The 22365-nt window shown below is 35.9% G+C and overlaps 1 protein-coding gene across 7 annotated transcripts in view; it reads left to right on the top strand.

Moving 5' to 3' along the window:
* CERKL (CERK like autophagy regulator) overlaps positions 1–22365 on the top strand; it is a 120434-nt gene that overhangs the window by 92270 nt on the left and 5799 nt on the right. For 5 of the 7 annotated variants that reach the window (NR_027689.2, NR_027690.2, NM_001160277.2 and 2 more), the window contains 7 exons: positions 6128–6270; positions 15128–15202; positions 15979–16156; positions 16232–16291; positions 16989–17014; positions 17110–17218; positions 20040–20136. Coding sequence is in view for 5 of the 7 variants with exons in the window: in NM_001160277.2 (NP_001153749.1) it covers positions 6128–6270; positions 15128–15202; positions 15979–16156; positions 16232–16291; positions 16989–17014; positions 17110–17218; positions 20040–20136 (688 nt within the window). In the remaining 2 variants the exon portion in view is untranslated. The remainder of the gene's footprint in view (positions 1–6127; positions 6271–15127; positions 15203–15978; positions 16157–16231; positions 16292–16988; positions 17015–17109; positions 17219–20039; positions 20137–22365) is intronic. The other 2 variants (NM_001030312.3, NM_001030313.3) reach the window with 1 other exon arrangement.

Below are 22365 nucleotides of genomic sequence, written 5' to 3'. Positions count from 1 at the left end.
CTTGTGGGAATCATGCATACCAACTACCTATTTGAATATGCTGCATAGTCCCTCACTAGACCTCATGAGTACATGAAGGTAGCTGCATTGCAAATGAGTACCTGCTTCAAAACTTGATTAAAGAATGAGAATAAAGATATCACAGATATTAAACTTGTTCTTACACAGCAGCATTACAGAATGTTCTGCTGAATGCAGTATCTATCAATATGTTTTACTGGTATTTGTACTGGGTAAAGGGATGAAAAGAACTTTGCAGAATGAAGAAAGACGATTGCTGAAGTGTAGTACAATAATATTTTTCTCTTTACCTGAACATATTTAATCCTTATTTATTTTTCATGGCAGGTGTTGTTATTTTTCAGTGTAGAGCTAAAAGATGTATAGATTTTTCAGTTATTATATTTTATAAACCAAATAGTTTGGCCTAACCATTATATGAATTGAGTTATGTAAGTGTTTCTAAACTCTATGGCATGCTGATTTATTTCAGACTTACAATAATTTCAAATTTCTACTGAAAGTCATCTTCCGTGTTCTAAGACTCTTTAAATCAGGGGTCCCCAACTCCGAGACTGCAGATGAATATCAGTCAGTGGCCTTTTAGGAACTGGGAGGCACAGTAGGAGGTGAGTGGCAGGAGAGGGATCATTTCCGCCTGAGCTCCACCTCCTGTCAGGTCAGCAGCAGCATTAGATTCTCACAGGAGTGCGAACCCTATTGTGAACTGGGCACGCGAGGGATATAACTGGTCATGCGAGGGATCTAGGTTGCGTGCTCTTGATGAGAATCTAATGCTTGATGATCTGAGGTGGAACAGTTTCATCCTGAAACCATCCGTCTCCCACCCCACCCTGCAGTCCATGGAAAAATTATCTTCCCACAAAAAAGTCCTTGGTACCAAAAAGGTTGGGGACCACTTTAAATAGCTTATTTATTTTTGTGGGGTCAGTTTTCCCAGTAGAAGCTGATATGGTAGTTGGAGTAATTATCTTAATAAACTGGCAATTTTAAGTCACTGTACTTAGAATTACATAGAGAGATATATGAGGAGAATAATAGAAACATAGTTTCTTCAGGTACTTCAAAGGAACAATTCTCTTGCAAGTAAAATTGTTTGAAAATGGAATATTCTACATTGGTGAGTTTTCTATTCCTGAACCTGTTCTAAAGAGTGGCTAAAGGAAAATTTTGGGGGAAATTTATAGAAAAGGTGCAGAGATGAGAGAAGGTTAACCCCAAAATGCTATGGCATTTTGATGAGAGACAGACTCAAATTTCTTTAAGAACTTTGGCCTGAAGCACCTCCGTCTGACACTAGTGGAACTATTAATAGGGAGTGATTAGGAAATCACCTAACAGTTTGGTTTCTAGATACAGGCTGAAGAAGTTAAGAGCCAAGAAAGATTCTATGTATAGTATTTAGTAAAGCAAAACAATTTGGTAAGTAATGTTTAAGAAATGCTATTTCCTAAGATTTTGGAGTTGTATTTATTTTTTTTAATGAATTACATATGTTTCTATGAGACATCTTGTGACATTTCTAAACCCAACAGAAACAGTGTATCAGCACTTATGACAGCTAGTTCTCCACTGCAGTGTGTCCTAGGAAACACTCTAAGATCCACTGTTAAACCTTATGAGAGCTTCAGATTCTATATTGCTCCCTATTTTACTGGGCATGAGTAGGAAGTTTTAGGAAGGAAAATAAAAGAATATCAGCTGCATAGACTTGAAGCAGTAACACTTGCATTTATAAGTGTGAGTATAGTTTTAAAAATCTATAGATTTTATGCAATTGTAAATATATGAATTCCTCGCTATTAATATTTGTTTCAGAATTTTTAAAAAAATTGTTGAGTTACTTTTCTTTTGTTCATTTCACCATTAATTAGACCCATAATGTTGTAGACATTATTTGGATTATATTGACATTTTATCAGATTGAACATATCTGTATTACTTAGTAAGGTAAAAAGCAAAAACAAAAACAAACTTTTCCAGAAAGAAAAAAAACTGTGAATCAAAACTACAACAATATATTGAACATTTCATAGATGATGGGTTCATAGATAAGTATAAAAACATTCATTAAAAAAATCTTTATCACTCTTTGAAAAAGGATATATTATCACCCAGTGTTTCTTTTCTAGACAGAATAATTCTGTTTGGAGCCATGGCAAGGAGTTTACTTATTTTAAAAACAAGATTTGTCACATGCAAAGGATTAGTTACTCTAAGGTTTATGTTTTAGAGTGACACAAGTGTGATTAACTCACTATAAATGATTGAATACTTTGCTTTTTGCCTTTCTTGTATATTTAGACTCTTGTGATATTTTTGTAAGAAGCTGTTGATGAAAAAAACCAAACTGTAAAATATTTAAAGAGGTTTATTTTGAGCCAAATATGAGTGCTCATGGCCTATGATAACCCCAGGGGGGTCCTGAGAACATGTGCCCACAGTAGTTGGGTTACAACTTGGTTTTATACATTTTGGGGATACAGAAGTTATAGCCAAAGACATAAATCGATAAATGTAGGGTATTCATTGGTTTGGCCCAGAGAGGCGGGATATCATGGAGCTGGTGGGAAGGGGAGCTCACAGATGAATTCAATGATTTTCTGATTGTCAGTTGGTTGATAAGCTTTGCTGAAAGATTAGAAGTCAGCAGAAAGAAATGCTTGAGTTAAGATAAATGGGGTGGTGTAGGCTGGGTGCAGTGGCTTAGCAGTGGCTCACACCTGTAATCCCAGCTCTTTAGAAGGCTGAAGAGGGGAGATCACCTGAGGTCAGGAGTTTGAGATCAGCCTGGCCAACATGGCAAAACCCCATCTCTAGTAAAAATGCAAAAATTAGCCGGGTGTGATGGTGTGTGCCTGTAGTCTCAGCTACTTGGGAGGCTGAAGCAGGAGAATCACTTGAACCCAGGAGGGAGAGGTTGCAGTGAGCTGAGATCACACCATTGTTCTCCAGCCTGGGCAACAGAGCGAGACTCTGTCTCAAAAATAAAATAAAATAAAATAAAAAATTATAAAAATAAAGATAAATGAAGTTGTGGAAGCACAGGTTCTTGTTATGTAGATGAAGCCTCCAGATATCAGGCTTCAGAGAGAATAGATGGTCAATATCTCTTATCAGACCTTAAAAGGTATCAAACTCTTAGTTAAATCTCTCCTGGATCAGGAAAAGACCTGGAAAGGGAAGGAGATTCTCTATAGAATGCAAATTTCTCCTGCAAATGATAGCTTTGCAGGGCCATTTCAAAATATGTCAACAAAATACATTTTGGGATAAAATACTTTGATTTCCTCTAGGGCCTGCTATTTGTTATTTAATGCTATACCAGAGTCAGGTTGGAGTTGGGGATCTTATTGCTACCAAGTCTGTTTTGTCAGTCTTATGATCTATTTTTTTTTTTTTTTTGAGATAAATTCTCACCCTGTCACCCAGGCTGGAGTGCAGTGGTGCAATCTCAGCTCAGTGCAACCTCTGTCTCCCAGGTTCAAGCAATTCTCCTGCCCCAGCCTCCTGAGTAGCTGGGATTACAGGCATGCACCACCATGCTCAGCTAATTTTTTGTTTCTTTAATAGAGATGGGGTTTCACCATGTTGGCCAGGATGATCTTGAACTCCTGACCTCGTGATCCACCCTTGGCCTCCCAAAGTGCTGGAATTGCATGCATGAGCCTGGCCAATGATTTACATCTTAATGCCAGTGCTGGCCATTTGCGCCTAAACTCCAAAAGACAAGAGGGTATAAGGAGGCATATCCAACCTCCCTTCCTGTTATGACCTGAATAGTTTTTCAGATTTTCTTTGTGACCTTCATGGCCAAAAGGGGAGGATCCATTCAGTTAGTTGGCGACTTAGAATTTTATTTTTGTTTTACAAAACTTATTTCCTAGGTTGAGTCACTTTACCTGAACATGATCTTAATGATTGAATAGTTGTTAACATAAATAAATACATATTTTTTCTAACTCACTTAATTTCACACTGGTTCTACTGGTAAACTGTTTTTCAAAATAATAAGATTCTCATAAGGCTATTTTTATTAGGTTTCATATATAGAAAAGGTATCTAATATATTGAATAATATTGTAGCTTCTAAGACCAAAATGTCTTATTTCAAATCCCTGTTCTATTACTTACTAGTGGTACAATCTTGAAAAAGTTACTTTATCTTTCTATGTTTTAGTTTCCTAATCTGCAAATTGAAGGTAATATTACCTATTGCATACAGTTATTTCTCCACTTAAATGAGTTAATACATGGAGAGTGCTTAGGAAAATGTCTGATATATATATATAGTAATTATTCACTAAATATTTCTTTATTGTTATAATTGTCATTTGTATTAGTTTCAAAAGATTTAACACAGAATGTATTATGACAAAATTTCAGATGTTTCAGAACATGCTCATAGGGAGGCCACCTCTAATAACTCTAGCAATATGTTAACATATGCATGACGCTATAATTGTATGCAACATTCTAGGAGTTAAGTGTTCGCATCCTATGTATGTAAGGGTCAAGTTATTTGGTGCTAAATTAGATTTTTTTGGGTATGACTCCACATAGTCTTTTTGGTCACACCCATATGTCAGCATTTAGACAGCCATGGATTGAGGGTTACGTTTAAGTTCACAGATTAGAAATCTCATAGAGATTTTTGAAATCAGGTAAGTTTCAAGTCAAACCTTGGTTTTTTTCATTCATAAAGATGGGACTGTGGCCTATTTTGCAGACTTCTGAGGATTTAATAGAAATTAGTAAACACATTACCTGATATATAGTTTGTCCTTAGTAAACATCATTCCTTTTCTCTGAATAGGTGGTCATATTGCGAACCTCTGGAATCAGTTTAGACATAAGAATAAAACACACCTAATCAAACATGACCTGGGTCATATCTTGAGTCTTCTAACCAGAGTAGCCTTGGATTGCCCAGGCTATGTGGAGCTAGTGGGATGAGGAAGATGGGGACTAGAGGGAATAGATGGCCGAGAGAAAGATGGTGGGAACTGACTGGAAAGACACTTTCAGCCTTTGGTCACCACCCTCCAGAGCTTCCTAAACTTAGAGAACCAGTAACTACTGCTGACTGTGGCCCATAGACAGTTTTGTTTGAAATAGTGTTTTTAAATATATTGAATGCTAGTTGCTTAGTATTTACAAATTAGGAGACTCAGCCTTAAATCAGAATCTCTGGCTTCTGTAGAAAAACCAGATCTGGGTCCATTAGGCCTCACACGTGATGTGAGTGGGCCACAGCAAAGAAGTGGCTGCGCCTTTAGATTGAGCCTACTCTTCCATTCCTGCTGGGCCCTTGTAGCCCTTGAGTTGTGACACCTGCTTTCACTGAGGCAAAATCCACTTTCCATTGGGTTAACTGGTGACATTTTGATACGTAAGAATATTTTGCTTCTTTTGAACATAAATGATTATGAAATGAATTTCTGGTACTTCTGTGTTATTTTAATGGATTCTGCCCCCATAGTCTACTTGATATAAAGTCTTAAAAAATATACTAGTAGTACTATCTAGGATCAAAGGCTAATAGTATTACATCTAGAAGCACCGTATAGCAATAATGTCAAGGAGATGAAATTCAGGTCAGGTTTGTAATTACTACATTCATATAGTAATGATAATTAGCAGTTTCTTAAAGCTTCATATTTTATATGATTTTTATTGCTATCTGTCTTTTCAGAGCTTTATTGAGAATTAGCAGGATTTTATGACTTTGGTTGGTGTTAGTTAAATGAATTGCAGATGACAGTATTATTAACAAGAAATGAGAATGATATGCTTTTGGATGTTAACAGAGCAAAACGCTGGTCAGATGTGAATTAACATGTTCAAAAGTTTTCATATCTCTTAACACACTTAAAGCTATTTTGTCTATGGGGAATTATCTAGTTATTATATTTGTGAAGTAAACTTACCTGTGTTGTGTTTGTGTTGTCTTACCCATTGACACATATTAACATGTTTAAAGGTACATGTGAGCAGTTATGCACATAGACTACAAATTAGTAAACTATTTTGAAGTCTAGATTTCATGACTTATTACCAATCATTCTGAAGTTTTGCCTTCTTTGCTTGATTTGTATTTTTCTAGTGTTGTCTGTGTTGGTGGAGATGGATCTGCTAGCGAAGTAGCCCATGCTTTGCTTCTGAGAGCTCAGAAGAATGCTGGGATGGAAACAGACCGAATCCTGACTCCTGTCAGAGCACAGCTTCCACTTGGCTTAATACCAGCAGGCAAGGGAGTGGCTACAGATTCATTAAACTGACCCTTCTCCCTCTTTTCCTTTCTTACTTGCTAATCTAGACAGCACAACACAGAATTAATGAACAGACTTTGAAAGATCCAGACTTCTGGCATCCCCACTAGCAAATGTGAGACTTTTGACAAGTCATTTAATCTCTTTGAGCCTTATTTTTCTAATCTATAGAATAGGGATCACAGATATATTATTCACTTTATTACAAGGTTATTGTAGTACTAACGTTTGGTTTAGTAAAGGGTTTAATATATAGTTAAACCATCAGTATATGGAATGGTTATTATTCTCCCTTCGCATAAAAAATCTGTTGATTACACAGTACCAGGTAAGAAGTTTCAAAACAGGGCCACTCCAGTCTAGCTGCTTACAATTCCATATGAGGTGAATATGGTAACTTGCATAATTGATGTATAACCAGATAACCTTGAGAATGCCAAAATTACTTGTGACTGGAAGGGAGGATAAGGTTTGGAAGGGTGAGATTCTTAAGGGCAAGGCTTTTTAATCTTTCTACTCACTGCCATTTTTCAGCATCTAGAATAGACTATGCCACAGTGATGCTCAGTGAAGCCTATTAAGTGAATGCATGTAAAGAAGACTTTATATAGTAAATGACACTTGGATTAGGTCTTAAAATGGGTTGGAGCTGGCCTGAAAAGGTGAGAATGAGTTATTTTCTTGGCTGCAAAAGTAATAAAGCAAAGGCAAAACCCAGGAGTGTTTGAGGAATAGTGAAAAGGCCATTCAGTGGAAGATAATGGTATCAAAATAGGCCCAACCATGGAGGCTCCTACATGCCACAGTAAGGGCTCTGAATTGTATTTGATAAGCAGTAGGGAATAATGGGATGTTTCAGAGCAAGGGGGCAACCTGATTGGAGCTTGTTCCAGGAGGATTCATTTTGCCTCACCGTGTGGAATGATTAGAGGTTGGGAGCAGGAGAAAGTAGAGGTCAGAGACACGGAGAACCGTTAGAGCAACACTGTGATCCAGAAAAGAGGGAAACATCATTCAAAAGCTGATTGTATTACACAATCACTCATCCCTATTTAACGAACGGTGCTGGGAAAACTGGCTAGCCATATGCAGAAAGCTGAAACAGGATCCCTTCCTTACACCTTACACAAAAATTAATTCAAGATGGATTAAAGACTTAAACATTAGACTTAAAACCATAAAAACCCTAGAAGAAAACCTAGGCAATACCATTCAGGACATAGGCATGGGCAAGGACTTCGTGTCTAAAACACCAAAAGCAATGGCAACAAAAGCCAAAATTGACAAATGGGATCTAATTAAACTCAAGAGCTTCTGCACAGCAAAAGAAACTACCATCAGAGTGAACAGGCAACCTACAGAAAGGGAGAAAATTTTTGCAATCTACTCATCTAACAAAGGGCTAATATCCTGAATCTACAAAGAACTCAAAAGAATTTACAAGAAAAAAACAACCCCATCAACAAGTGGGCGAAGGATATGAACAGACACTTCTCAAAAGAAGACATTTATGCAGCCAAAAGACACATGAAAAAATGCTCATCATCACTGGCCATCAGAGAAATGCAAATCAAAACCACAATGAGATATCATCTCACCCCAGGTAGAATGGTGATCATTAAAAAGTCAGGAAACAACAGGTGCTGGAGAGGATGTGGAGAAATAGGAACACTTTTACACTATTGGTGGGACTGTAAACTAGTTCAACCATTGTGGAAGACAGTGTGGCAATTCCTCAGGGATCTAGAACTAGAAATACCATTTGATCCAGCCATCCCATTACTGGGTATATACCCAAAGGAATATAAATCATACTGCTATAAAGGCACATACACACATATGTTTATTGTGGCACTACTCACAATAGCAAAGACTTGGAACCAACCTAAATGTCCAACAATGATAGACTGGATTAAGAAAATGTGGCATATATACACCATGGAATACTATGCAGCCATAAAAAATGATGAGTTCATATCCTTTGTAGGGACATGGATGAAGCTGGAAACCATCATTCTCAGCAAACCATCACAAGGACAAAAAACGAAACACCGCATGTTCTCACTCATAGGTGGGAAATGAACAATGAGAACACTTGGACACAGGAAGGGGAACATCACACACTGGGGCCTGTTGTGGGGTGGGGGAAGGTGGGGAGGGATAACATTAGGAGAAATACCTAATGTAAATGACGAGTTAATGGGTGCAGCACACCAACATGGCACATGTATACATATGTAACAAACCTGCACATTGTGCACATGTACCCTAGAATTTAAAGTATTATATATATATATAATATACAGCCTTATGAACATATATATATATAAAGGAAAATTAGGCAAAATAGCATTACTTGAGGTACTCAATAGCCTGGCAGAGCAGACATTAAGGGTAAGAGAGACTGGACTTGAATTTCAGTTTGGTACTTGACTTTGGGTGGGTAATTAGCCTTTATTAGTCTTGATTACACATTTAAAAGGTTTAATAAGGCCGGGTGCAGTGGCTTATACCTGTAATCCCAGCACTTTGGGAGGCCGAGGTAGTGGATCACCTGAGGTCAGGAGTTGAAGACCAGCCTGGCCAACATGGTGAAACCCTATCTCTACTAAAAATACAAAAATGAGCTGGGCATGGTGGTGTGCGCCTGTGATCCCAGCTACTGGGGAAGCTGGGGCAGAAGAATAACTTGAACCTGGGAGGCAGAGGTTGCAGTGAGCTGAGATTGTGCCACTGTACTCCAGCCTGGGCGACAGAGCGAGGCTGTCTCAAAAAAAAAAAAAAAAAAAAGTTTAATAATGTCCATCCCCATAGGGCCATTACAAGAATCAACTTTTAAAAAGTCACACATTATCACTAAAAAAGCAAAATATTTTTCCCTATGATTATAGAAAATAATGCACATTGTTGAAAAAAATTCATATTTTGATAACCCTATTCATTTAGTATGGATTTTAGAATACTTAGTATTGTTGATAAGTTGACAGAGCATAAGATATTCAAATGCCCTTTTAGAGTGTAAAGTCTTTCAGAAAGTCAGAATTTAAAAGGAGAGAGATATTCAGATATAATCTGATAATTCTAGAGTATATAGGAAAACCTAAAATGGTTTCTAAGTAGAAGACACCAAGATGATTTTGACTCAAAGAGAAAAATGATGCATTTTGGGCCATCTTTTCATGGCATTTTATTTCTTGACCTTTTTGCTTTACTTTAGTAGTTCTGACTATAATGGTGGAAACTTTCCAACATTTCCTTCCATGCAAAGTGGATGTGCTTAGGACACTTCATTAGTACTTAAATTCCTGAGGTCATTCATTGACTGCCATACATCAGAAATAGAAAGATGGGTGTCCCTACAGGTATGCCTTTGACATAAATTTGGTGGTTGGCTATAAAAACTGGTGGTTATTCTTATGTTTTAGTATGTAATTCAGATTTTATAAAGAAATAGCATTTAGTTTTATCACTATTATAATTTTGAAGAGTATTTCTGATTTGGGGAGCATTTTATGTATTCTTTGGATATTTGTAGTAATGCCATTTTAACCTGTCTTGTTTAGAAGACACAGTATGCTGCCAAAATTCTGGTCATTGCATAGGAGTTCTAGCATTCTAATTCCATCTAATAGGAGGGGAAAGTCATGTGTGGGGTATATTTAATATGATGACTGTATGCCTAGTCAGGGCTTTTGATAGAGAATGGGAACTAGAACTAGGCAGGAAGTTTTCAAGCTGAACATGAGGAGACAGTGTGCCTTTGAAGCCATTTGCCTCCTGGAGAGAGACACCCAGAGGGAGAGTGTTTAGTAAATTAATCCACTGAGCCAACAGACTAAGCTGCTGAATTATGGTCAGACTCAAATGGATCAGATGTGGAGAAGCCTGTATTTGAACTGCTGGCCATTAGGAATGGTGTTTGTTGCTATGGGAACTGGTGCTAAGGAACTATACTGAGAGACTCTGATTAAAAGGGGGAGGGGGAATGGAGAAAAAAGCCTGAGAGGACATAAAAATAAAAAAGCAATCCAGTTGTTGTAAAACAAGGCTCAAGCCACATACTGATGGCTGTGAACCATATATTCCTATAGAGTTTGCATAAATAAATTCATGCTTTCCAATTAATTTGAGGAGAATAAAATATTGCCGAGGGACTGTTAATTTCTATGATATTTCAGGCAAAGAACCAAAGTGTAGGTGCCGTTTTCATGAGAATTTTAGATATGCTTGACTAGGAAGTCATTACATCACATTTATCTGTTTGGATGTGGGAGACATTAACAGCCTTATGAATATTCATGGTATCTGGTTAATTAAGTTAATTGTTCTGCAGAAGTGCTTGCACTTCCAAGGACATTTTTTTTTTTTTTTTTTTTTTGCCTCCATAGTTTCTCCCTGGTATTTCATCAGTAATTCTTTACATGAACTGCTACTTCTGTCCTTACTTTTTTGTATTTGGAACATTTTAGCAGCTCTCAGGAGGAAGTGGTAGGCAAAGTTTCTGGTAGTGTTAAGAAAAATAACTTTCAGGCTAATTAAAATGTTTACCTTGAGGTAGAACATTTATAGCTTTTGTGAGAACATTAAAATTACGCCATTGTTATTTATGTGAGCAGCATGTTCTTTTGGCATGTAGACATCTTTTCAAATAGAGTACAGTTTCCTGAAACAAAATGTAATCCATCTTTCAGATTATCCCAACAAAATATAGAACAAGCTATCGTTTTGCAATTTTACATATACTTTCTCATAAACTTTCCTTTTTTCTTCAGAGTGTCAAAAACCACATTTAAAGACTAAGATACAGATTAATGAGTAGTCAATGACTAAAATAATTTTCTGACTTCTAGTCATGTCTGTTATCACTGCCAACTTCTACAGAATTAGAGAAAAGTTGCAAAGCCTGAGAAGACATAAACAATTTTTAAAGCCATCTCTAGCATTCTAAAAAAATTTTGTACTTGGGCATACCCACCATACTTCAAACTCACAGGGAATAAATGGTCTTTATTTTCTTAAGTCATGATATGTGTCATTCTCTATTGCACATGACATTACATTATGTTTTTTAATAGCCTTTCTAGAGGAATGCTTTTACGGTCTACTCATAATTAACCATGGTAATGGAGGAAATGTGTTTCATGGAGTACTGTAATCCATCGATAATCCTAAATATCTGACTCTAATTATGTGGCCTCCTCCAAAATCTTTACCACAAATCTGATTGGGAAGCACAATGGATTGACTTGTTTCTTCCTTTTCTCCTGATCCATTCCAGATTTATTAGCAATTAGATGGTCAAAGGGCAGGCTGTAGAGGGCCACAAGATCATTGGAAAGACCTTGATAAAGATCCACTGAGTAACAGGTTTCTACACTACTTGTTCTCAAAACTTAGGGTCCATAGACTCACCTTGTGAACTTGCTAAAACAGAGATACCTGGGTCCTCCCTCCTCCAAACACATTCTGAGTCCATGAGTTGGAGGTAGAACCCAGGAATGTACGTTTTTAACAAGCTCCCAGGTAATGATGCTGCTTGGACCATGCATTCCAGAGGAGTTTCTCACCAAGTCACTGTGCATACAAACCACCTGGGGATCTAATAAATTGCAGACTCTGAATCAGTGTGTCTGGAATGGGGCCTGAGAGGCAACATTTTAAAAATAATATATTTTTTACTTCCATTAATACTGCTATTACTGTTTTAATACCTATTATCCTTATTTTTAAATGGACAAAAATTGTATGTATTTATTGTGTACAATGTGATGTTTTGAAACATGTATACATTGTGAAATGGCTAAATAAAGATAAACATGCATAAAATTGACATAATGATCACATACTGATTTTACATTGAGAACACTTAAAATCTCCCTTAGAAATTTCCAAGTATATAATGCATTGTTACTAACTATTGTTTTAGCCTGTTCTCATGCTGCAATAAGGAAATACCCAAGACTGGGTAATTTATAAAGGAAAGAGGTTTAATTGACTTGCAGTTCAGCATGGCTGGGGAGGCCTCAGGAAACTTACAACCATGGTGGAAGGCAAAGGAGAAGCAAGGCACATTCTTCACAAGGTGGCAGGAAGGAGAAATGCTGAGTGAAGTGGGGAAGAGTCCCTTATAAAACCATCAGATCTCATGAGAACTCACTCACTATCACAAGAACAGCATGGGGGAAACCACCCCCGTGATTCAATTACTCCTACCTGGTCTCTCCCTTGACATGTGGGGATTATGGGGATTAAAATTCAAGATGAGATTTCGGTAGGGACACAAAGCCTAACCGTATCAACTGTAGTCACTAGGTTGTATAACAGATCTCTTGAATTTATTCCTTTTACCTGAAATTTTATATCCTGGACCAGTATCTCCCCAGTCCTTCCCACCCATTAGCCCCAGTAACCACTATTTTACTCTTCGCTTTTATGAGTTTAAGTTTTTCAGATTCTACATAAAAGTAAGTATTTGCCTTTCTGTGCCTGTCTTATTTCACCTAGCATAATGTCCTCCAGGTTTATCCACGTGTTGTAAATGACAGGACCTCTTTAATGCCAAATAGTATTCCATTGTGTATATAAACAGGCTGATTGTCCCTAATCTGAAGACTTAAAATCCAAAATGCTACAAAATTAGAAATGTTTGAGTGCCAGCATGATGCCACAACTGGAAAATTCCACACCTCATGTGACAGGTAGCAGTCAAAGTGCAGTCAAACCTTTGTTTCATATAGAAAAATATTTTAAATATTATATAAAATTATCTTCAGGCTATGTGTATAAGATGTATAAAACTTTTATGTTTAGACTTGGGTCCCACCCCCCAGATATCTCATTACACCAACAGTGTAAAAGTATTCCCATTTCTCCACAGCCTTACCAGCATCTATTGTTTATTGACTTTTTAATAATCGCCATTCTGACTGGTGTGAGTGTGGTTTTGATTTGCATTTCTCTGATGATCAGTGATATTTAGCTTTTTTTTTATATGTTTGTTGGCCACATAAATGTCTTCTTTTGAGAAGTGTCTGTTCGTATCCTTTGCCCACTTTTTGATGGAATTTTTTTTTCTTATAAATATGTTTAAGTTCCTTGTAGATTCTGGATGTTAGACCTTTGTCAGATGGGTACATTGCAAAAATTTTCTCCCATTCTGTAGGTTGCCTGTTCACTCTGATGATGGTTTATTTTGCTGTGCAGGGATTGTTTTCTTGATTTCTTTTTCAGATAGTTGTAAGTGTACAGAAATGCTACTGATTTTTGTGTGTTGATTTTGTGTCCTGCAACTTAACTGAGTTTGTTTATTAGCTCTGACAATTCATTCATGGAGCCTTTAGGGTTTCCTAAATAAATAAGATCATGCCTACAAACAAAGGCAATTTAGCTTCCGTATTTATGATTTGCAAGCCTTTTATTTCTTTCTCTTGCCTAATTGCTCTGGCTAGAACTTCCAGTACTATTTTAATGACAGTGGTGAGAATGGGTATTATTGTCTTCTTGAGGAACAAGACATTGTTTCTCAACTCATGAGAGTAATTTTAATAAGCACTCAAGTATTGTCATTCCTGTTTGACAGTAGGCCGTATTTTGAGTAACAAGGGTCACAGCATAACTTGCCTTTTGGTGAATCAGTTGGAACCAGTTTGCCATTTAGTTAAAATAAACTTTTCTTTGCACTGGTATTACTAGAAGTAATTGTGCTTATTTATAATTAATAATAATTAAATATGCTTATTCTTAGTTACCTAAAAAATTATGATATTAATGACCTCTTGGTTGATAATGGCTAAGCTGCCTCAGCTTCTCCAATTTAGCAACCCAAGTACATATCAGTTCAAAGTAACACAAATTGAAGCAATTATGTATGATCACATAGGAATGCTTCTGATTAACAAAATCCAGAGGACTGGTCTTTGCCTTCATAACCGGAACACACCACATGCATGGTTTCACAGCTCTTGGCTATTATTGGACTTACTTATTATATTCTTTAATTCAAGAAAAATTGTAGCTTCATTCATTCTGTTCTTAATAATTTTAAATTCTCTTTAGCCTCCTGGGAATGGGAAGGGCTAGCTGGTATAGTCCCCTGTATCTCAGATTTCAGTTACACATAAACATTAAAGGGGCCTGACTTAGGGCGCTCTTTGCCTCTGTGGACTGGTGGGGAAAATCCAGGTGTGTCTTAAATTCTAATAATCATGAAAATCAGAAATCATAATGTTTCAAATACAAATCTTCATACATGGGAAATACAATTGAATTAAACATTTTCTTCAATGTAGGAGACATTTGTCAGATAACAGAGGGGATTCTCATTTGGCTAAGAGCTTACCTCTAAGATTCATTAAATGTGTTTAGAGCATATTTTTTGTAGTTTGTAGTTATTTTATTTTTCTGAGTTATTATTTGGATTATTTTCTCTTTTATTTATGTATGCATTTGTCACTGCTCCCCAGAGGCACCTCATTTTGGCATTGAAGCTAAAAACCCATTCATTAAGGTTGGGATGGAGTGGGCTTTGATATAGCTAGCATTTGGGAGGTAGAAAATAGACATTCGTGATCAAAAAAGCTGTAAGCGGTTACTATAAACTATTTTTAAATTTCTAAGTATTTTAAATATTGAACAAATGTGTAGACATTTGATGTGCATCTATACTGTGAATAAGAACTTAAACTTCTAATATTCACATTAACTTTCCTGATTTTATAAATTCTCGTTTATTTTTCATCTGAACATTGAAGAATGACATCTACATAAAGTAAAAGCAAATGTTAGTTTGAACACATTCTACCCTAATAGTGCATGTTTTAAAATTGCTTTGGCAGGATCTACCAATGTATTGGCACATTCTCTTCATGGAGTTCCTCATGTGATAACTGCAACATTGCACATTATAATGGGTAAGAATTCTTCCAAAGCAGTTCATATTTTATAAGGAAATGTTGATTTATATAAGGAAGGCCATCTTATTTCCATCAGACTTTAAGAAAAGGCAGGTTCTTTGTCTCTTAGAGTAGAGAAATGTTTGACTAAAAAACCAAAAGGCAATGCTTTACTATGTGGATTGCCTGTCTTTTCAAAATACTTGCTTTGTAAAGAGCAGTAAATGAAGTTTTATTGTAATCTGTACAGAAAAAAAATATTGTAGTGTGCTCAAAATTATAATTTTATAACCAGATGAAGAACATTAATGAATACTCCTTAAGTATATCCAACACTGATGTAGGACTGTACCAAGACTCTAGGACTAGGATTATGTTATTAATGAAAAAACATAACCAGAAAAAAATTTCAGCCAGTAGATGTCTATAGATATTTTATTATCCCTATTGGTAAAAAGCATATAAGCTCAGGTATATGTAACACTAAACTACTGTTAAATCTGTGTTTACCTTGCCTATCTACTTTAACTTCGTTTCTTTGACCATGTTTTATAGGAAATAGCAATAAGCTGAAAAATTTAGTACTCTGTGTTTCTTCACTAGTACCTGAACAAGTTAAAAATGGTAATTATTGTAGTTATAGGTAAAGGGAACTGAAGAGAAAGTGAGGATGTTCATGGTCTACAGTACCTTTAGATATTCTCCTATAAGCCAATAAATATGCTCTCTTATGTTTGCTGTTTTGATACAAGTCCTACTGTACTCACTGATTAATATTTAATGTAATATTCAAGGGCATGTACAGCTGGTCGACGTCTGCACCTTCAGCACCGCTGGCAAGCTTCTTCGCTTTGGGTTCTCAGCCATGTTTGGCTTTGGTGGAAGAACTTTGGCTCTGGCAGAAAAATATCGATGGATGTCCCCTAACCAACGGAGAGATTTTGCTGTTGTTAAGGCACTGGCAAAACTTAAGTAAGTCTTTTTCTTAAACCAAAAATTGTATCCCAGGTTCAATGACTGTTAATAACAAATTTCATTACATTTTAGGGCAGAAGACTGTGAAATATCATTTTTACCATTTAACAGCTCTGATGATGTGCAAGAAAGGTAGGTAAAAACTCAATGTAATACAGATAACCTGTATCTTTAAAGCATAAAACATTCTGACAAACAATTGATCAGACTTAGGATCTTTGGTTATTTTTCTAACATAGTAGTAAAGAATATAGAATCACAGACTCTTACAGGTCCTAGTAAGCAAACAACTACTCACTCAGCCTTTTTCTCTTTTTCCTTCCTTCTTTCCTCCCTTCCTTCCCCCTGTCTCTCCCTCCCTCCTTCCGTTCTCTTTTTCCCTTCCCTTCCCCTTTCTTTCCTTTCCTTTGTTTTTTTCCCTTTCTTTCCTTTTCCCTTTCCCTTTTCTTTTGAGTGCCTACTATATGCCAGGCACTTTGAATACAACAATGCACCAAAAAATGAACAAAACACACAGTTTTGTCCCTCGTGATAATTTTGGTCTAGTGTGTAATACAAATATTAAAGCCATATTAAAGAAGGGTTATAGTCTTTAAAGAAATAGTACATTATTATTCCTTATAATACTAGTTTACCTTTAAATGAATCAACACATTATGTTGGCAGCAACAAAATTGTACGTTTTTACTTACTATCTAATTGAAGAAAGTATTTAACATATATAATGATGAGTTCTCTAATTTTCTCATATTTAATAGATTTGTGTGTGTCTGTGTGTCTGTGCGCGCGTTATCTGTTTTATGTCTTTGTTTTGTTTTCTTTCTTTTAGGAGGGCACAGGGATCTCCCAAATCTGGTGAGTCGAAAAGTATCTCCTTGAGAACTGTGCCAGGTTCTGTTGACATTTTGTTCTGGTGAGGGAAAATAACCAATCACTTTCATTACCTTTAGACTGTAATGATCAATGGCAAATGATCCAGGGTCAGTTCTTGAATGTCAGCATTATGGCAATTCCTTGCCTGTGTTCAGTGGCACCTAGAGGCTTGGCACCTAATACCAGGTTAGTAAGCATTTTTATTGAATTGTTGATACATTTCTTATAGACCATTTTTTTTCCAGGGTATCCAATTAACTGTTGGTTAGCTAGAAACTTAACAGGTAGTTTATCTTTGTATATTAGAGATTCTAAGGGATTTGTCATCACAGTAGGTTGAGAACAACTGTTGAACTGGAATAATTATCAGATAATCATTGACTATTTAACGTCACTGAGGCTAAAATAATATTTCCTAAGTTTTATTGATAGAATTTTATGCCTACTTTACTTGATTTATTCATTTAGTTGTGGAGAACATTATATTAAATACTGATATTTCTTGTGAATGTCTTTGCTTTCCAACTTTAATGCAAACATAAATATCCTTAGCATGAAAATCACACATATGTATATTTGATACTGTATTAGTCTGTTTTCATGCTGCTGATAAAGACATACCCGAGACTGGGTAATTTACAAAAGAAAGAGGTTTAATGGACTTACAGTTCCACGTTGCTGGGGAGGCTCCACAATCATGGTGGAAGATGAAAGTCACATCTCACATGGCGGCAGACAAGAGAGCTTGTGCAGGGAAACTCCTATTTTTAAAACCATTAGATCTCATGAGACTTATTCATTACCATGAGAGCAGCACAGGAAAGACCCACCCCCATGATTCAGTTATCTCCCACCAGGTCTCTCCCACAACACATGGGAATTATGAGAGCTACAAGATGAGATTTGAGTGGGAACACAAAGCCAAACCATATCAGATACTTTTAGTCAAAAGAAACATTTCAGTTCTATTTAATGTGAATAGTAGTGCATATCAATCTCCTGCCCACATTTTCAATTGAATAAAATATGAGACATCTTATATATATCTTTTTATCCATGGGATATAGACATTCCTTCTCTTGCACATTCTTCTTAATCAGCTGTCCATTATGGGGCTGAAAATATTTCTTTCCTGAATCCAATCCTGTAGAGTGTAGGAGAAAGGATCGTGAGTGTTGTGAAATATAGGCAATAAACGGGGAAATATTCAAAGTTAGAGAAGAAAAAAGAGAAACTGCAAACTTCGATATTGAAAACCCAGATGGCAAGGTCCTCATTAATTACATCTAGTGCTAAAACTTCAAAGGAGTATTTTGAACCTTGTGTGATTTAGAAATTGAGCCTGGTGGTTTTCCCCGACACCTTCAGAAATCCTAGATAGCTGTGTGCTTTCATAATGTAGTTTCCCTGACTAAACTTGAAGACGTGGCTAGCTGACCAAGGAGCTATGTTTGGCAGGACTTGAGACAATGTTTATCTAACCCTGTTTGTTTAAGGACCTTCTTGGGAGGGTAGACCTGCTCTTCTGGGAACAATCGATTCATAGCTCCTTCAAAGCCACTCCATAAATGTTCTGCTTGACTAGAATTCCACTGTTGACTCTGCAGGCTTAATCAGTATTAATGAATTTTTCAGAGAAGGATGACTAATTAGAGATTTCTTCTGTGGTTTATAATCACAACATGCCATCTTTGCAAAGACCTTTTGATCAAGACTCATTTGACCGGAGATTTTTCAGAGATGTAGCTTCTGATGATTCAGGATGATTGAACAGGAGATTTCACTTTCTTCTTTTTCCCCCACCATGATAAATAATAATTTATGTTAGAATATCTCAGTGCAAATTGCCAGTAGGAACTAATATTCTTATATTCTAAGTATTCTAAGATTAAATGTGTTCATATATGTGAGACATTTAAAGCAGTGCCAGCCATGTAAGTTGTGTTTCTATTTCAAGTAAATATTGCAAAGCAGGCATAGGATAGTGCTTTTAATGTTTATAAATTATGCAATTAAAGATGCACAGTAACACTACCATGAACGTTTTGGTGCTGTTTATTTTTAATTGGGAAGAAGAAGCATGATGGAAAGCATACTGAGCACCTGGAGTATTGGTGCTGATGACCATTTTTTCTCTGTGTGCCTTTGAACAAATCACTTAAACTTGGAGTTGTCTTTTCCCTCTACATGAAATGAGCGAATGATGAGATAATCTCTAAGGTCCCTTACAGCTCTGACTTGAGCTTTCATAAGATACTAAGAGCTCTTTTTTTATTTTGTTGTTATTCTTAAATTAACTTCATGTTTGCACTGAAATCAAGCTAGAAGTCATTTGTATGTATTTCTGCAAACTGCATTCTATAGCTTGATGCATTTGTGAGTGGCTGTTTTGGCACTAAATCACACCTCTGAATTTTCACTCTCTTATATTGGATGGAACAGTTATGCAAGATTAAAATGTTCAGTCATTTAACTGAACATGTGTGGCAGCATTTGTTCACTCCATTTCATCCATCCAAAGGCCACTTTGATTTATTTCATTTCCTATGTCACTTAGACCTTCTGTCTATAAATAAATATTTAAATCACACTTTAGATTTTAGAAAATGTTGAGCTATTTGTTACACAACTTGTGCATATTAACTCTTCTATAATACATCTTTTAACAACATAGTTTCACATTTAGAATTTCTAATTACATTGTATTTTAAATTATGTCTTGATATGTGAGTAGGACGCTTGATGGTTTGCTTTGTAAAATGCTCTAATGTAAGAGCTTATTGAGAAGGAAGCCAGTGATTTAATAAAACTCATTTGAAAGCCTGCATCATTTAAAAAATAGCAAGATACGGTTTATGAATTTTAGGTAAACGTAACATGGTGATTTATCTATCTTGTCCAATACTTTCAGTAAACAGTATACTTGTTATAAGGAACAGTATGTCATAATTTTTGGTATAATCTCTTAGTAAATTTCTTGATGTCTAATAGAAATATTTAATTTCAGATTAAATAATGGAAGTATGGCTCTTATAATTGCCCGAAACACTTCTCGGCCAGAATTTATAAAACACCTGAAAAGATATGCCAGTGTAAAAAATCAGGTATAGTAAATTCTTTTTGTTACTTATTTGCAAAGCTATTAATCATGTAGAAAAAGATGCTGCAAGAATTGACATCGAATCCTGCCTCATAAGAAGGTTTTATTTTCTTCTGAATATATTAATCTTCTTTTTCCCAATCTATTTCATCCAAATTTTGAAAAGCATCCGCCAGGATTAATATAGATTGGCCTTTTTTGAATGATGAATTAGTGGTTATGTATCTGTAACCACAAAGATAAAATAGGAAATGTAGTGTTATATTGCAATGTGAAATAAATTAAGGATAAAATTCCATACTCAGGCTGTTCTTCAGAATGAAAAGAAGTGAAATTTGAGAGTTTAGCCTTCTTGATATTATGGCAGCAGACTTTCTAAAGTTATGATCTTTAGATCTTCCTGACATTTGTTTGCATATCTGCATTGATTGAAATAGATCTGTAGATATGTATTTAAAAATATGACAGTTTTATACAAATATTCATTCAAAATGAGAATATGTGAAGATATACATTTCCACTTAAGTGATTTGCTTTAAAGAGAAACAGTAACTATTACAAGCCATATTATTTTGGCAGCTGTTTTGACCTGATTATTAGGAAAATGATCCTTGAACTATGTGAATTTCTGAAATTGTGAGTCTTTGAAGTACATAGGTATGGTTGTAAAACCCTATAGTTTCACACTTTTTCTTTTTCTTTCTTTTTTTTTTTTTTTTTGAGTTAGAGCCTTGCTGTGTCACCCAGGCTGGAGTGCAGTGGCGTGATGTCTGCTCACTGCAACCTCCACCTCCCACGTTCAAGCGATTCTCCTGCCTCAGCCTCCCGAGTAGGTGGGATTACAGGCTCACACCTCCATGCCCAGCTAATTTTTATATTTTTGGTAGAGACAGGGTTTCACCATGTTGGTCAGGCTGGTCTCGAAACTCCTGACCTCGTGATGTGTCCACCTCGGCCTCCCAAAGTGCTGGGATTACAGGCGTGAGCCACCACGTCCGGCCCACACATTCTTAAAGGTATAAAATGGTGCTTGGATAGAGTTGGGAGATAACAGACGGGAGGAGGAGGAGAGTAAACCCAGCCAATGACTGGCAGCTGAACCTTGCTTATGTACCTTAGCCATAGCAAGTCTCTCCATTTTTGCCTCATTATATTTTAAAACTTTCTTAGGCCATCTTCATGAAGTTTGATCTGTCAGTAACATTATTTGATCCTCATGTATTGAACAACTAACTGGGCTGCTTAGGAACTTAAATCATAAAAAATTACAGTCCCACTTTCTTTATATGTCAAAGTAGATCAGCAGGTATAATGTAGGTTGTGAGCCTACATAACAGTTTTATGTATGTGTTTGGGTGGAATATGGAGATTTATTGATTTTCAAAGGAATATATGCCCTTTCACATTTTAATAAATTTCTAAACATTAAAACCAATTTTTAAAAAACCCAAAGCACTATATATTCATTGCTGTTTTTAAGTCAGAAAATAGAAACAAGAAAATGATTTTAAAGCACTCAAAATTCCATGTTCCTCAAGATTAGTGTCATTACCTTGGTAGAATTTTTTCCGAATCCTTTTTTATTAAATAAATGAGAAGTAAAGTAAGTATTAACCTCATTCATGTACCTCTATTTGAGAACTTAAATAGTATTAACCTATTAATGTACCCCTGAGAAGTTCTGTATTTATTTTGGGGAGGTGTATGTTGCACAAATTGTTTATGGAAGGTCTCTTTTGAAATTGCCTATGGGGCAAGTCTCTCAGGCAATTTTTGTAAACATTCTTCTTCTTCATTTTTTTAAATCAATATACCTTTCTTCTGATTTTAAAAGCAATGGTTACCTTACACATAAAGACAGACATACAGAAAATAATAAAAATCTGTATCGATAGGAAGACGTTTTCTAAGAGATAATATTATGCAGGATTTATCATATTTTCTCATGTACTCTACGAGGCATATCTTGCTTTTGACACAAGAAACAGTTGCCTGTGTGTGATTCACTGGCCTTAACTCTGATTTATTTATCAACTTTCAAAAATTAAAATCCATGCTATTTTTTTTTTTTTTGCAAAGAATTCTAAAATATTTTGCATAGTGTATATAGTAAGAAAGATTGATTCCCAGGGTGACTGCTTTCAAGCAATGTTAATTTGATTTGTTAATTATCCACACAGGTGTGTTTATTTAGGCTCTTTCCTTCATGGTGACATTAAAAATGTGAATTTAT

Source organism: Homo sapiens, chromosome 2 (assembly GCF_000001405.40).
Source record: "Homo sapiens chromosome 2, GRCh38.p14 Primary Assembly".
In the NCBI taxonomy this organism is placed as follows: Eukaryota; Metazoa; Chordata; class Mammalia; order Primates; family Hominidae; genus Homo; species Homo sapiens.
Note: the sequence above shows the minus strand (reverse complement) of the source record. Positions and strands in the feature narration are given on the sequence as shown.